Source organism: Homo sapiens, chromosome 3 (genome assembly GCF_000001405.40).
Source record: "Homo sapiens chromosome 3, GRCh38.p14 Primary Assembly".
In the NCBI taxonomy this organism is placed as follows: Eukaryota; Metazoa; Chordata; class Mammalia; order Primates; family Hominidae; genus Homo; species Homo sapiens.
In genome coordinates this window covers 16,190,108-16,204,653 of record NC_000003.12, presented here as the reverse complement: position 1 = coordinate 16,204,653, position 14,546 = coordinate 16,190,108, and the positions used below count along the sequence as shown (strand labels likewise).

The 14,546-nt window shown below is 47.0% G+C and overlaps 1 protein-coding gene across 3 annotated transcripts in view; it reads right to left on the bottom strand.

The window, feature by feature from the left end:
- Window positions 1-14,546, bottom strand: part of GALNT15 (polypeptide N-acetylgalactosaminyltransferase 15) — a 73,545-nt gene that overhangs the window by 43,571 nt on the left and 15,428 nt on the right. For all 3 annotated transcript variants that reach the window (XM_005264852.6, NM_001319051.2, NM_054110.5), the window contains exons 2-3: window positions 8,728-8,894; window positions 3,831-4,035 (exon numbers count right to left, since the gene is read on the bottom strand). In XM_005264852.6, coding sequence (XP_005264909.1) covers window positions 3,831-4,035; window positions 8,728-8,894 — 372 coding nt within the window. The remainder of the gene's footprint in view (window positions 1-3,830; window positions 4,036-8,727; window positions 8,895-14,546) is intronic.

Here is a 14,546-nt window from a genome sequence, read left to right as displayed (position 1 = left end):
TCCCCTTAGAAACCTTCATCCTTCCAGGGGTATGGCTTCCACTGCTTGGCTTGGGTATGAGAGCTGGCAGTCAACACAAGTCAGCTGAGAGCTGGATACAACAGCTAGTCTTGATTCCCATCATTGTTACTTTGTGTAGAAACTGGCCATCAATCAGCATCTCCCAGGGCTGCCCTAAAATCAGTTGCCCATAGGGAGACTCTATGTAGGGTTGCTATGAACAGTTACAGGAGTTGCGCACTGTGCAACCCAAGAGAACATCTCTAATATTATCATTACTGTAAATTTGCATTTTTATTTCAACAACTTGCTGACAGTTGGCATTAAGATGTCTTATTCTAATAAAATCAGTATATTATGACCAATTTTCTGAGGAATGGGAGTCAGGAGGAATGGTCATGAGGAAGGGATTTCTACCAATTCAAATAAAGTTGCCACATGGCTAGTGGGAACCTGCTAGGCAGGGACAGGGAACAAAGGCTGGTCAGCAGGCTCTGAATTCCTTGGCCAGGGTGTGGAGGAGGCTACGGCTCTTTGAAAGAGCTGATTTGTGGCTTACTGCACTGTTCACTCACCACTCCCACCCCACTTTTTTTTTTTTATAAGAGCTCTTAAAGACCCTTTTCTGTCTTTTGGGCACTGTGTCCTCATCTGGTGACAGAATGTCTCCTGACACAAGCCTTGGAGACAGCTGGGCCCCCTCTCCTCTCCATGTGAGGAGCTGCACCAAATGCCTTCCACAGCTTGGCTTTGTATGAGGCACGTGGGCGACGTCCCTGGGGGAGTAAAGCACACACTGAATGAGGCTGCTCTCCCTGCCACAGCTCATAGAGCGTTGCCAGGTGGAGTGGAGAGAGTGGGACTCAGATACCAGAAAGGTGGCTTTTCTTCCAGATCCTCACCTGCCAGTGCCTAAAAGCTGGACACTAGGGCCCAGAGAAAACACAGTGGACAAGAAGCCATGAATGAGGTGTAGAGATGATGAAAATGTGGTCACATCACGCAGAAGAGATGGAACCCAAAGAGGAAGGCAAGCCAGTAACACACCAGGATCAGAGGCCCACTGTGTGTGTGTGTGTGTGTGTGTGTGTGTGTGTGTGTGTGTGTGTGAGAGAGAGAGAGAGAGAGAGAGAATGAGTGACCAAGAGACAGAGAGAGACAAAGACCGTGAGAGAGGTAGAGAGGCAGAGACAGACAGGAGAGGAAAAGAGGAGAGGGGAAGGGCACAGGAAACTAGAATGTCTCTTAATCACAAAGGGCTTCCCAGGGAGCCTCATTTTCTTTCTAGCCTAGGACACTGAGGTAGTGCCACGTCTTTCTACCTTCACCTAGCTCTGGGAAATGGGGCCCCGATGTGAGAAGCAGATACGAGGGACTCACAGCAGCAGGTAACACATGTCTCATAACCAGTTGTGGGGTTAGGGATGACTAATGTTCCTCCCTGACCAGCTTCTCCAACTCTTAAAAAGAAAATGTACACAATAAAAACAGCACTGGACCCAGAGTCAGAAAATCTGACTCAGCTACGAATTATCTGCCCTTACATATCATGTCACCTCTCTGAGCCTCAATTTCTCCCCCTATAAAACAGAAGCTAAAATACCTGCCTGAGGCCTCTCATGGGGGTCATTAAAGAAGGCATATGAAAGAAGTCTGCGAGGGTTACACATACATAAAGTTTAATGATGTTAATTACTGCATTTCTAAATGTCTGCATAAAAGCAGCATAGAAAACAGCCCAGTTGTCAAATGGCTGTGTGACCCTGAGGGGTCTTTTTTACTTTCCTGGAACTCAGGGTTCTCGATAGCGAAATCATGAGGTAAGACAAGATGATCTTCATGGTCCCTCTGAGAGCCACCTGTCTGTGATACCAGAATGGGAATCAGATGGGAAATGGGCAAGATCAACTTCAGAGTCTGACTCCAATGATAGACATCGCTCTGATTTCAAGATGGCCCTTTGCATGAAACAGAATCAAAAATGGCAGCTTTGGAGGGCTTGTGCATTTTCTTTTCTTTTCGGGATGGAGTCTTGCTCTGTTGCCCAGGCTGGAGTGCAGTAGCACGATCTTGGCTCACTTTAACCTCTGCCTCCCAGGTTCAAGTGATTCTCCCACCTCAGCCTCCCGAGTAGCTGGGATTACAGGCGCACGCTACCACACCCAGTTAATTTTTGTATTTTTAGTAGAGATGGGGTTTCACCATGTTGGCCAGGCTGGTCTCGAACTCCTGACCTCAGGTGATCCGTCTGCCTCGGCCTCCCAAAGTGCTGGGATTACAGGCATGAGCCACCGTGCCTGGCCAGCTTGTGCATTTTTGTGTCCTAGTTCTTGTCCTAGTGCTGAATTTATGTGTGTCTTCTTTTCTTATGAGATGTGAGTCAAGAGACAATCTGTCTCATGAAACTGGGAAACATTAATCTGTCTTGATCTCACTTGAGTTCCGATTGTTCTTCTTTGTTAAAATGGAATGCTGAACTATTAACAATTTACTTTCTGTCATTTGAACGTTTGAAACCATCTCCATTTGGCTGATGGTAACTCCTATGTCTCCAGGATTCATTCCGATCTGGTCCAGGAATTTTTTCTTATATTTGATTGATCATCCCTAACTTCAGGTGAGATAATAAACATTCATCATGGGTAGAAGTCATAAGGCTTGGTTCTAGCATTGGTCCTGTCTTGCTGGGCACCATCAAACAATTATTGATTGTGGTTCTACTCTGCTACATGCCTACATGAGCTCCAAGTGGTATGCCTGAGGTGGTCCAAGGTGGGCCAGCCACCAGGTTTCAGTTTTCCTGGGTAGGATATTCAGATTGAGGGTAATGTTTGACTAGACATGTTTAGGAACTGTTTGTCTTGAGCAAGGAAGTGAGAAAGAGATTGACGGTCAGATGGGGGAAGGAGAGCAGAGAAATGATCAAGAAAAATGTTAAGATGCTTGTCTACAGGGTAATGTAATGCAGTCCTCTCCAACTTCACATTTCCAAGGACTGGCCTTAGGTAGAAAATTAGGGACCCCTTATATAAACTGGGGAAACAAAGAATGCTGTTTAGTGATCAGAGAACATAATGTTTTCTTTTTATGGGTGAGTAATCTACGGCCTAGTGTAGTTCAGAGACTTTTTCCCCAGGTTATGTTACAAGCTTGATTAAAATTGACGAATTTTCGGCCAGGCGCGGTGGCTCACGCCTGTAATCCCAGCACTTTGGGAGGCTGAGGAGGGCGGATCACGAAGTCAGGAGATCGAGACCATCCTGGCTAACACGGTGAAACCCCTTCTCTACTAAAAATACAAAAAATTAGCCGGGTGTGGTGGCGGGCGCCTGTAGTCCCAGCTACTCGGGAGGCTGAAGCAGGAGAATGGCGTGAACCCGGGAGGCGCAGCTTGCAGTGAGCCGAGATCGCCCCGCTGCACTCCAGCCTGGGTGACAGAGCGAGACGCCATCACAAAAAGAAAAAGAAAAAGAAAAAGAAAAAGAAAAAAAAATTGCCAAATTTTCACCAAAGGCAATGATAGCTATGGTAAGGTGTTACCCTCGTCATGCAATTTAATACAATTTTAAGTATTTGCAACCTCATAGAAGCTGTTCTCCAGGCCTCGGTTTCTTTATCTATAAAGCAAGGTAGATGAAGACCTCTAACCTCCTTTCCAACTCTAACTCTATAGTCTTAAAAAACTTACACATCTGAAAACCCGAAGGGAATATATCACTCTCTAATGGAGATTCAGGAATTAATAGGTGGGTTGCTCTGTGAGTGGCTGATGCTGTAGACTGTTTCTCCCAGTTCCATGTCTTGCTTTGCAAGCCCAGGGAATAAGTTACCTGTCACCAGCTATTCTGCTGAGGAGGGGCTCCAGCCAGCCTGGGTGGCACTCGCAGTGGGCATCCATGAAGACGAGCACATCCCCGGTGGCTCTGGTGGCCCCCAGCATCCGGGCCCTGATGGCACCCAGCCTCTTGTTGCTCCTGAGTAACTTCACCCCCTCCAGCCTGGCCACATATTCGCTGAGAGCAGACTTGAGTTGTCCTGGAATCAACAGGGTTGTGGTCAGTGGAATGACAAATGCCACAACCGATGAGATTGTGACTAAGACAATCGTCAGCAACTCTCTTTTGGAAGCTGTGGTGAGCACCTGGGTCCTAAGAACCGAAAACATTACTACAGTGTGGTTGTTGCTGAGATGTAAGATGCTTGGTTAGGTTGGGGTGGGCCATGATTCTCTCCAGTAAAAATTAGAGGGATGGTGTCAGAAAACCAGGAAAGGGGAGAACTTGCTAACATTCTCCAAATGCAGCAGCAAGAATGTAGCAGATACTGTTGGTGTCTGATATGGTTTGGCTCTTTGTCCCCACCCAGATCTCATCTTGAGTGGTAATCCCCATAATCCCTATGTGGCGAGGGAGGGACCTGGTGGGAGGTGATTGGATCATGTGGGCAGTTTCCCCCATGCTGTTCTCGTGATAGTGAGTTCTCATGAGATCTGATGATTATATAAGTGTTTGATAGTTTTTCCTCCTCTCTCTCTCTCTTTCTCTCACTTGCTGCCATGTAAGACATGCTTCCCCTTCCACCATGATTGTAAGTTTCCTGAGGCCTCCCCAGCCATGCGAAACTGTGAGTCAATTAAACCTCCTTTCTTTATAAATTACCTAGTCTCAGGCAGTTCTTTATAGCAGTGTGAGAACAGACTAATATAGTGTCCTACTCAGATTCCCTGAGCTCCCCTTAACTGTTTTGGTTTGGTTTGCATGTCCCCAGCTGCTGTGGGTGCTAACTGAAATCTTAACCCTTCCCTGGAGACTTGCCTTGGGGTATTAAAACGGTCTCTGCTGCAGGTGCCAGACAGTCATGCAGGATGCTGCCCCCAGCCCCAGTCATGGTCAATGACTGACCATTGCAGGGTAAAAAGCAAGACAGACCCCGCAGTGCAGCCTGTGCTCCAGAGTCCCCCATGGGATCAGGCTATGGCTGGACTTCACCTGAAACCACATATTTGTTCAGCTCTTCCCTCTCTCTCTTCTGTATCACTCACTCCCCTACAGATTTCCCCTGAGAGTACACCCTCAAAAAAATCAAATGCACGTGAATCTCCATCTCAGGCCCTGCTTTCAGGAAACCTGACCTAAGACAGTGGTCAAGGAAGTCAAAGGCAAAAGGCTCCATTAAATTTGGCAGCTGGTAGGAGATTGGTGGTGCTGGTCAAAGAGATCTCATTGCAGTTGATAGGGGAGTCTGCAACACAGTGGGTCCGGGAGAGAAAACGGAAGATGAAAAACTGAGACCAAGAGTCCAGACGGTTAGGAAGGTTGATTCTATAGGGGAAGGGAGAAAAAGAGGCCTAAGAAGATGACGGAAAGGATGAGAGAAGCTTGTTAGGTTTTGTGTTTAAGATAAGAATAACTTGATTGTGTGTGTGAGTGCATGTGTGTGTGTGTGTGCATGTCTGTGTACACACACACCAAGAGGAACAAGCCAGTGGAGATGGAAGGAACAATGTGTTCACAGAGAAGCAGTGGTCTCCATGAAGTCTTGGAAATGGGGAGTCCCCCCAGGCCAGTGGACTAAGATCTCCCCAAGGACAGGGGTTGTACCTAATGCATCTCTTCTGCTCTAACCCTTAGTGCAGGGCCTGGCCCACAGTAGGCACTCAGTACATGTGCATTGAACAGAACTGAGCCAAAAAGCAAGAATTTCCCCCCCAGTTCCCCAGCCCAGAGGTGGCCTTAACTGTGGATACAAGTAGCCTGGCTGCTTTGGTAGCTGGATCTCTGGGGAGGCTGGAGAAGGTTAAGGCAGCCCCACCCGAGAGCCCCCAGCAGACTTCATACACTCCTTCCCTGGGAATCTGTCTTCTAAGCACCATGGATTTTCTGCAGGGTGAACAATGTCCTGAGCAGTAGAGGAAAGGAGTCCCAGTCACTGGGCTGTTGCAATTCTCACTGGTAAAATGCTTCGTTGATGTGTTACTTTATAATTATTTTTCTGGTAAGACTGTCAGCCCTGGTCCACTCCCTAGAGAGGAATCTCTGTTAGTCAAGCTATTAACATTTCTGGACTTGCATATCTGAGAAGCAGCCCCTCAGTGACTTCATTGGCTTTAACATTGCTAAATGTAACATCTTCCTCACCATTCATTCTCCCCTTCCACTGTACTGACAGAACTTTGATGTTTCTCGGGACAGCTAAAAACACGTATCTCTCGAGACTTCCTGTCACTGCTGGCAGCAGCTCTGGTAGAAATAAAATGAATGAAAGGATTCTGGGAAAACTATTATTTTACTAATTTTTTTTTTCCGAAGAGCACAAACCGGACTGGCCTCTGCCTATCTCTTCTTCGCCTTTTCCCTATTTGAAATATGTATGTGATGTCCAGAGGTAGAGCAGCCCTGTTGTGATTATGAGGCCAAAACTACTCTCTAAGCATGTTGAAGTGGAAAGCAGATGAAGGTGGGTGTCCAATGGCATTGTGGAGCTGTCACACCAATACTGCATTGCCACCCTGTGAGCTTTCTATACTATAAGGAAAAATAAATCTCTATTCATTGGTTAAGTCACTGCAGCAGGTTTCTGTTCTGTGCAGCCAAATATAGTCCTTCACTGATATTCCCACCAAACATTAATTTATGAAGCCCTCCTTGGGCTGACTGCTGGTCTCTTCAGCTATACCTCTAACCCTTGTTAGTATTATTTAGGACAGACTTCTAGCAAGAGAGCTTCGGAATAGATAAGGAAGAACTTCCAGACTGCGATGGTTGTTTGGCATTCTCAGAGGGTTTTGAAGTGGGTAAGAGCACCCATGTCTGAGTGGTATAGTGCTCGGAAAAAGCTGGTATGATCCTCAACTCCTTCCCTCCAGAAAACAGCAGTAATACTGACTTCCACTTGTAAAGGGTCATCATGGGCTGGTCATCGCAAGCATTTTCTGATTTAATGATTTGGTGTGGGCATCACCACCCCAGACGAATACCCTGAAACCCATCTAGCTGATTCTATCACACTACACTATGCTGTCATGACCATCGGCTTGGAAGCCCATCAAGGTGGCTCAGGGCAACCCGCAGCATCTTTTTCTGTCTCAGTTTTCCTCACAGGTAGAGTAGGGTTGATAAGCCCTGCCTCTCTGGGTGGCCAAGAGGATTAAATAAAAACAGTGTGCAGGGTGGTGCTTGTCTGGGATCTGGGTCTTGGCAAGCACACAGAGGAGAGGGACCTGCAGAAATAGAACCAGTGCTGCCCTTGGTTGTGGAAAAGGCCTTGCACCCCAATGTCAACAGGAAATATGGGGCCACTGGATGGAGAGCCAACCCAGTGGTGAGGGGCAGAAGGGGAGTTGGCCAGGAGGGGGCAGCTTAATTGCTTGGCAGGGGATCCAGATCCCCTCTGGTGGGGCTGCCAGCTCTGGGGTAGCCCATTTCTCTGGGGCCCAGCTCCTCCACTTTCCGTACTCCCGAGGGGCACAGACGTAACACAGCTCATCAGATGGTGGGGGCCTCACCACAGGTGTGCTCTTGGGCGGACCCCGCCCCACTTGAGGGTTTGGAGAGTCTCTGGGCACTTTACCCGCCAACCCAGCCCTGTCCTGCACCTGTTCATTAGTCCTGCCTAATATGCAGCCAGCTGCACCCAGGAACCCCAGGTGTTCCCAGAGCCTCTGGCTAATCTGACTCACTGCTATGGCCAGGCTAGGCCCATCCCTGGAGTGAGGACCGTAGAAAGAACTAACAGAGGCACCTGGCTACCCTAGCCCTTCTCCATTATTCCCCTTAGAAAAACGTGAATGCTCGGCTTCCCTCAGAGCGTTCTGATCTTCCCAGAAGGCCAGGAGGGGTGTCCCTAGGTCATTTAGTTGTGCCAGAAATGTAGGCCTCACGCCCAAGCCAAAGACTAGAGCAGAGGTTCTCAGAGTGTGGTCCACAGAAAACAGCAGCATCAGCATCACCTGGGAGCTTGTTAGAAATGCAAATTCTTCGGCCCCACTCCATCACCAGAAACTCTGGGGGTGGGCCCTGCAGTAGTATTTTAAAAATCGCACCAGGTGATTCCGATGCATGCTCAAGCGTGAGAGCCACTGACCTACGAGTCAAGTGGGGGCTTCTCTGTCTCCATCTTCTTTTAGGGCTGTCCCTAGTAGCCAGGTTCCTGTGAGAGGAAGCACACAGGCAGGTTCTGCAAGTCTGGGCTCTGGGCCTGACTCTGCTGCTTTTGGCTGACTCCGCTCCAGTCTGCTGTCTTCTCTGGGCCCCAGTTTCCTCCTCTGGAAAGTGAGTGGGTCTGTCTAAGCCATGATGAGTGAAGGACCGATACACATATGTGCGTATGTGTAAAGTGCTGCACCAGGGTCTAGGAGGCAGTGAGCACTCACAACAGGGCCGCCCTATGTGATTCTTCAGTGTCTTGGAGAGAGGATTGTTGGACTGGGTGGCACCTGGGAGAGAGATCCCCACGGGATCAGGCTGAGGCGACACCCCTCAAGACCCTCCCCAGGGCTGTTTCCCCTGCAGGGCTCTTTCTCCTTCTCTGTCTTGCAGCCCCCACTGCCTTACTGGTTTCCCCAGTGGCTCTTCATTCATAAGTTACTTGCCCATTAATCCTCATCTGGAGGTCTGTAGTTGGGGAATCTTGCCTAAAATAGTTCCAAACTTCAATCTTTTGCTTGAGAACTCCACCCGCCAGGGGGTAAGGCTCACCCAGACGAGCCTGGAGGAAAGCCGTGGCTACCTTGCTGGCTGAGGTCGTCCACGAGGATGATCTCCTTCAGGAAGGCCCTGGGCACTGTGTCGAGGATGCTGTGTACAGTCCGCAGGAGAGTGGACCAGGCCTCATCATGGAAACAGAGGATGACGCTGGCTGTGGGCAGGCTGTCCTGAGGGTGCTGCTGCAGACACCTGCAGGGAAGAGAGCCAGAGAGCCATGGGGAAGAGAAGGCCACAAGAAACACTCCACACCCTCTAACTCGCTTCCTTTGCTCTGGCTGGAGCTGCCCCCATTATATGGCTGTCCTATGGGATCTCTTAAAATTCCCATATAAAAAGAACCTGTTACGCCTCATAGTGGTGCTGTCTACTATCTCCCAATTCTCAGATCTCAAGAGCTCCTTTATCATTTAATCCAAAGTCCCTCTCATTGCAATTGAGAAGCGTTGCCGTCATCCTCAGCAAATGACTGTCCTCATCTGTAAAATGAGAATGAATGACAATATTATCACCCTCACAGCGCTCACACTTGAGCATGCATCAGAATCACCTGGTGGGATTTTTAAAATACTGACTGCAGGGCCCACCCCCAGAGTTTCTGGAGATGGAGTGGGGCTGAAGAATTTGCATTTCTAACAAGCTCCCAGGTGATGCCGATGCTGCTGTTTTCTGTGGACCACACTTTGAGAACCTCTGCTCTAGTCTTTGGCTTGGGCCTGAGGCCTACATTTCTGGCACAACTAAATGACCTAGGGACACCCCTCCTGGCCTTCTGGGAAGATCAGGACTCCCCGAGGCTGTGGTGAGGCTTGGATAGGATGATGCGTGTAGTTAAGTGTCCAGTAATCTCTGTCATCCATTCAAGGTCAGGGACACTATTTTCTTTATTTTTATGTTCCTACAACCTAGCATAGCACCTGGCACACAATTTTTAAATGTTAGCACTTACTATTTTTTAAAATTTTATTTTAAGTTCCAGGATACATGTGCAGGACGTGCAGGTTTGCTACATAGGTAAACATGTGCCATAGTGGTTTGCTGCCACCATCAACCCATCACCTAGGTATTCAGCCCCACATGCATTAGTTATTTATCCTGATGCTCTCCCTCCCCATGCCCCCACAACAGGCCCCAGTGTGTGTTGCTCCCCTCCCTGTGTCCATGTGTTCTCACTGTTCAGCTCCCACTTATAAGTGAGAACATGCGGTGTTTGGTTTTCTGTTCCTGTGTTCATTTGCTGAGGATAATGTTTTCCAGCTCCATCCATGTCCCTGGAAAGGACAGGATCTCATTCCTTTTTATGGCTGCGTAGTACTCCATGGTACATATGTACCACATTTTCTTTATCTAGTCTATCATTGATGGGCATTTGGGTTGATTCCGTGACTTCACTACTATGAATAGTGCTGCAACAAACATACATGTGCACTTCTGCACAGCAAAAGAAATATCAGAGTGAACAGACAACCTACAAAATTGGAGAAAATTTTTGCAATCTATCCATCTGACAAAGGTCTAATATCCAGAATCTACAAGGAACTTATGCAAATTTACAAGAAAAAAGACAAACAGCCCCATTAAAAAGAGGGCAAAGGACATGAACAGACACTTCTAAAAGAGAAGACATTTAAGCTCTTATTATTTTTATGGAAGAAAAAACAAGGATGGAGTGTCTGTGAGTGCCAACAACATGCCAGACACCGTGCAAGGCCTTTAATATATCACTGCACATTCATCTGATAATTAATCCGTGGGTTGGGCTATCTTACTCCCATTTTACAGATAAGGAAACGGAGGCTTCGAGGGAAGGGAAGACATCAAAGCTCACATTGCTGGCAAGTGGCAGCGCTGAATGTTCTACCTTCAAAACTCTCACACCCTTTCCACTTTGCTGGCTTATGGCTGGATAGCAGGGGTGTTTGCATTTCCCTCTGCTGAGGGGCTGTCTGTGAACAGGGTGCTTGGTGTTTGCCTTGCTTTGGGTCTGTTGAGAATCAGTGGGTCCAGGGTGGAGTGAATTATAACAACCTGATACATGGAGCAGTATATAGCTCACACTTGCTTACAAAAGGCACTTTCTTAACGTGTGTTTCTGAAGAGCCTCTTTCTGAGTTGCAGCTGCTGCTCAAACTATGTTCCTCCTCAGAGGGACATTTGAATAGGAGCCATCTCAAGGACCCCAAACTTCGGACACCTAAAGGAATCTGTGAGGTGGAACTGCGGGCAGAGTGACAACCAGGCTGAGGCTGGCCCTGTCTGAGGGAAACACCTTCTAAGATGTGCCAACTCTTGCTGCTCCCTAGCTTGGTACCAGTCCTAAGAAAGGCAGAAAACTCTCAATGCACAGGAAACCTGTGTGTGACTCTCAGGGCAAAATCCTGTGTAGAGAGGGAGAATTGAGTCTAGGTAATGGTAAGCAGAATTCCTAAATAATTTTTAAAAACACATAAACATCTCATAAAGGAGCTAATTATTTTGTTGGTTTATAAATTTACAAGCTATTTATTTCCATAAATGATTTGAAGCCACTCACAAAAAAATACACACAATACAAATACTTAAAATGATGGTAAAATAAAAATAAGGAAGAAAAGTCAGGAGCTGAGGAATATAAGTAAATTTAGAAAGTCAGCATTTGGAGAAAGAACATAAATATATAGGTTATAAGGGCCTAGGTATTTCTAGAATGAATTTAAATTTGACTCTGAGATCCCTGGTAGCCAAAGTAAAATGTTTATTCTGCAACAGAATTATCACCATTAGAGAAGTTACATGCAAGGTTTTTGGGGAAAGCAACACTCTTTCTAGTAATTTTTTCTTTCAATTCCCACTTTACCACTTTTTATTTTGAAATCGTTTAAGACTGACAAGAAACTGAGAGTTCCTATGTTCCCTTTACCTAGCTCCCCATCATGAAAATATCTCACGTAATCATCCACAATGAGCAAAACCAGGAATCCGACATGGTTCAATACTGTTAACTCAAATATCATATTAGTTTTAAAGAGAAAATTTAACACCCATCTAACACTTATTTGAAAGATAAATTCCTATGGACTTTAGCAAGAAGTCCCTAAATGCATGGCAGCATTCTGAGAACCATTCTTAAAACAAATAAAATAATGAACTTTATATGAACTTTTATAGTCTGAGTTCAGGGCTGCTCAAATAACATGTCCAAAATGGAACCAGCTTCCCTGTAAGGTTTTAGGGAGATGACTGCGTCCCCAGCACATGCATAGTCTTTGCTGAGGTCTTTCACCCCCTTCATTCTCTCCCCTTCTCCCCTGGTGGGGCTGAGAATTTCTGCTCTGCCCTCAGACTTGCTCTAGACTGCTCACAAACAGGTGCAAAATTTCCTCATATCCTCTCCACTTCTTTTGTGGCCATGCATTTGGGTAAACCCAGGGGTCCTAGACAGGGACTGGTGGCTGTGAAAAGAAATTTTGCCTCAGTGAATTTAGTGGGTATGAAAAAAAAAACCCTAAACTATTAATTGGGCTTGTTGCCGGGAGGCTGGCTATTTGCCAACTGAGATAGGAAAGGAGTTTGGGACAGAGAGCCCTGGGTTTGGAATTCCTGTGGGGACAGTTTAATAGTTTACCAAAGTCAGTCCTGTCTGCTCCAAGAAGAGAGCACGGCTATGCCTGCCAGCCATGCCTGGCTCCTTTCTCTGTCTCAATTCATAGACTATGAGAATTGGAAACAACACAAGTGTGTGTTATGCACACACATGTGCACGTGTGTGTGCGTGTGGTGTATGTATCCTTGTAGTAAGATGGTCAAAAGAACTTAGACTTCAGAATCAGACATATTTAGATTTGAATGTTCACTCCGTTGCTTCCTAAGTTTCCTTGGGTAATTCACTCAATATTTATAGGTATCAGTTTCCTCATTTGGAAGGTAAGGGTAACCATAATTACCCTTTAGGCCCATTGAGAGAATCAAAGAATAATAATAGGCACCCAATAGACAGTGACTGTTTTATAGCCATTTTCCAAAAAGACACAATGTAATTAGTATGAATGTTATATTTATGATCATCTTTGCAAATTATAGCTATCTTTAAACAACTATTCTACAGTATAGCATGAGACATCCACTGAACTACTTTCAAGTTTGGGTTTCCCAACAGTGTCCACTTCAGAGCTTTTGGGAGAAATAAGTTTGATAAAGGGCTTGGCACAGTGCCTGGCATGGAGCAGGGCCTCCTTCAATGAAAGAAATTTGTATTTAAACTCTAGCTCTTTAAGATCACACTCCTTGCATATTACTCAAAGTAAGGAGATGTGAGAGCTTCCATCTCTGCTAGTTAAATGGTGACCAGGGCACTCAAGTTCCTTTCTTTGATTTCACAGAACATTCTCTGCCGGGTGGCAGTCTCACCTGGTAACTCAGGTTGTGGACACTGAGGCTCCACCACTTCCTAGCTGCGGAGATGACCCTGGGAAAGTTGCTTAGCTTCTGGGTGCCTTGGTTTCCTCAGAAAGGTAGCCGTAGGGCCCACTTTTTGGGATTTGCTGTTGTGGAGATGAAATGATCTTTATAAAGCACCAAGAACAGTGGGTGGCACAGAGTGAGCACCATGCGTTTGCTGCCATTATTAACAGATGTCCCATTACTACAAGAGGTACCTCTCAGGCTCTTCCAGCCTTGAAAGTGTGTGTTCTTGATTCTTTGGGGGCTCCTTCCCGCAGCAGGAGGAAGAAGGAGGCAGAAAAATAAGGACAGCAAGCATTTCAAAGAGAATTTCATAGACTCCCCTTGCTCCAGGAATTTTGGGGTTTTATGAACAGATGTAACTTCTCTCCTCATAGTGAGAGAGAAGATGGTGAACCAATGGATGGGCAGGGAGTGTGAGTGGGATAAACTAAACAGGCTGCTAAGAGATGTGAAAGGCCAAATGGGTTCTTGAAAGCCATTACAAGGCTATGGGGGATGCCCCGCCAAGCTGTGGAGGCAGGTCTCCTGGCATCAGCTCAGAAAGAATCCTTCTCCTCTCTCAGGGAAAGAAGTTCACGCAGCCTTCAAGACGTAAACCGACAGCTGTGGTTTGTTCTGCAACTGCAGAACTGCCTGGAGACCAGAGCTGAAAATCACCGTGGAAATAATCTGGTGTTTCAGTGGAGGACCAGCAGCAGCTGAGCGGACCCAGCCTGAGGTTTGTGAGAAGGCCCAGCACCCACAACATGGCTTGGAGTGTGGAACTAAATATTATAACCCAAATTTGACAAAGTCTTGTGTCTCAGGGCCTGTTAGATGCTTTTAAGAAAAGCCAGGGATTCTTTTGTTTCTTTTTTTTTTTTTTTTTTTTGATACGGAGTCTCGCTCTGTCCCCCAGGCTGGAGTGCAGTGGCGCGATCTTGGCTCACTGCAAGCTCCGCCTCCCGGGCTCACGCCATTCTCCTGCCTCAGCCTCCTGAGTAGCTGGGACTACAGGCGCCCGCCACCACGCCCGGCTAATTTTTTGTATTTTTAGTAGAGACGGGGTTTCACCGTGTTAGCCAGGATGGTCTCGATCTCCTGACCTCGTGATCCTCCCATCTCGGCCTCCCAAAGTGCTGGGATTACAGGCGTCAGCCACCATGCCCGGCCTAGCCAGGGATTGTTTTGTTTCTAGTGGGCTGGAGGGGGAGCCTGAGGATGGTGCAGACTGTTTAGCTCCCAGACAACAGTGGAAGGGAGGGATACCAACTACATGTACAGGCTTATGGCAGTCCATGGTCATCATCCCAGGATGGGCTTCATCAGCCTATGGGCAGCACAGTCATGCAGGTATGGGCAAATGGGATGAATCCTCTCTCATTGTTCCAGGTGGCAGCACAGAACCAAGTAGGAGGGTGT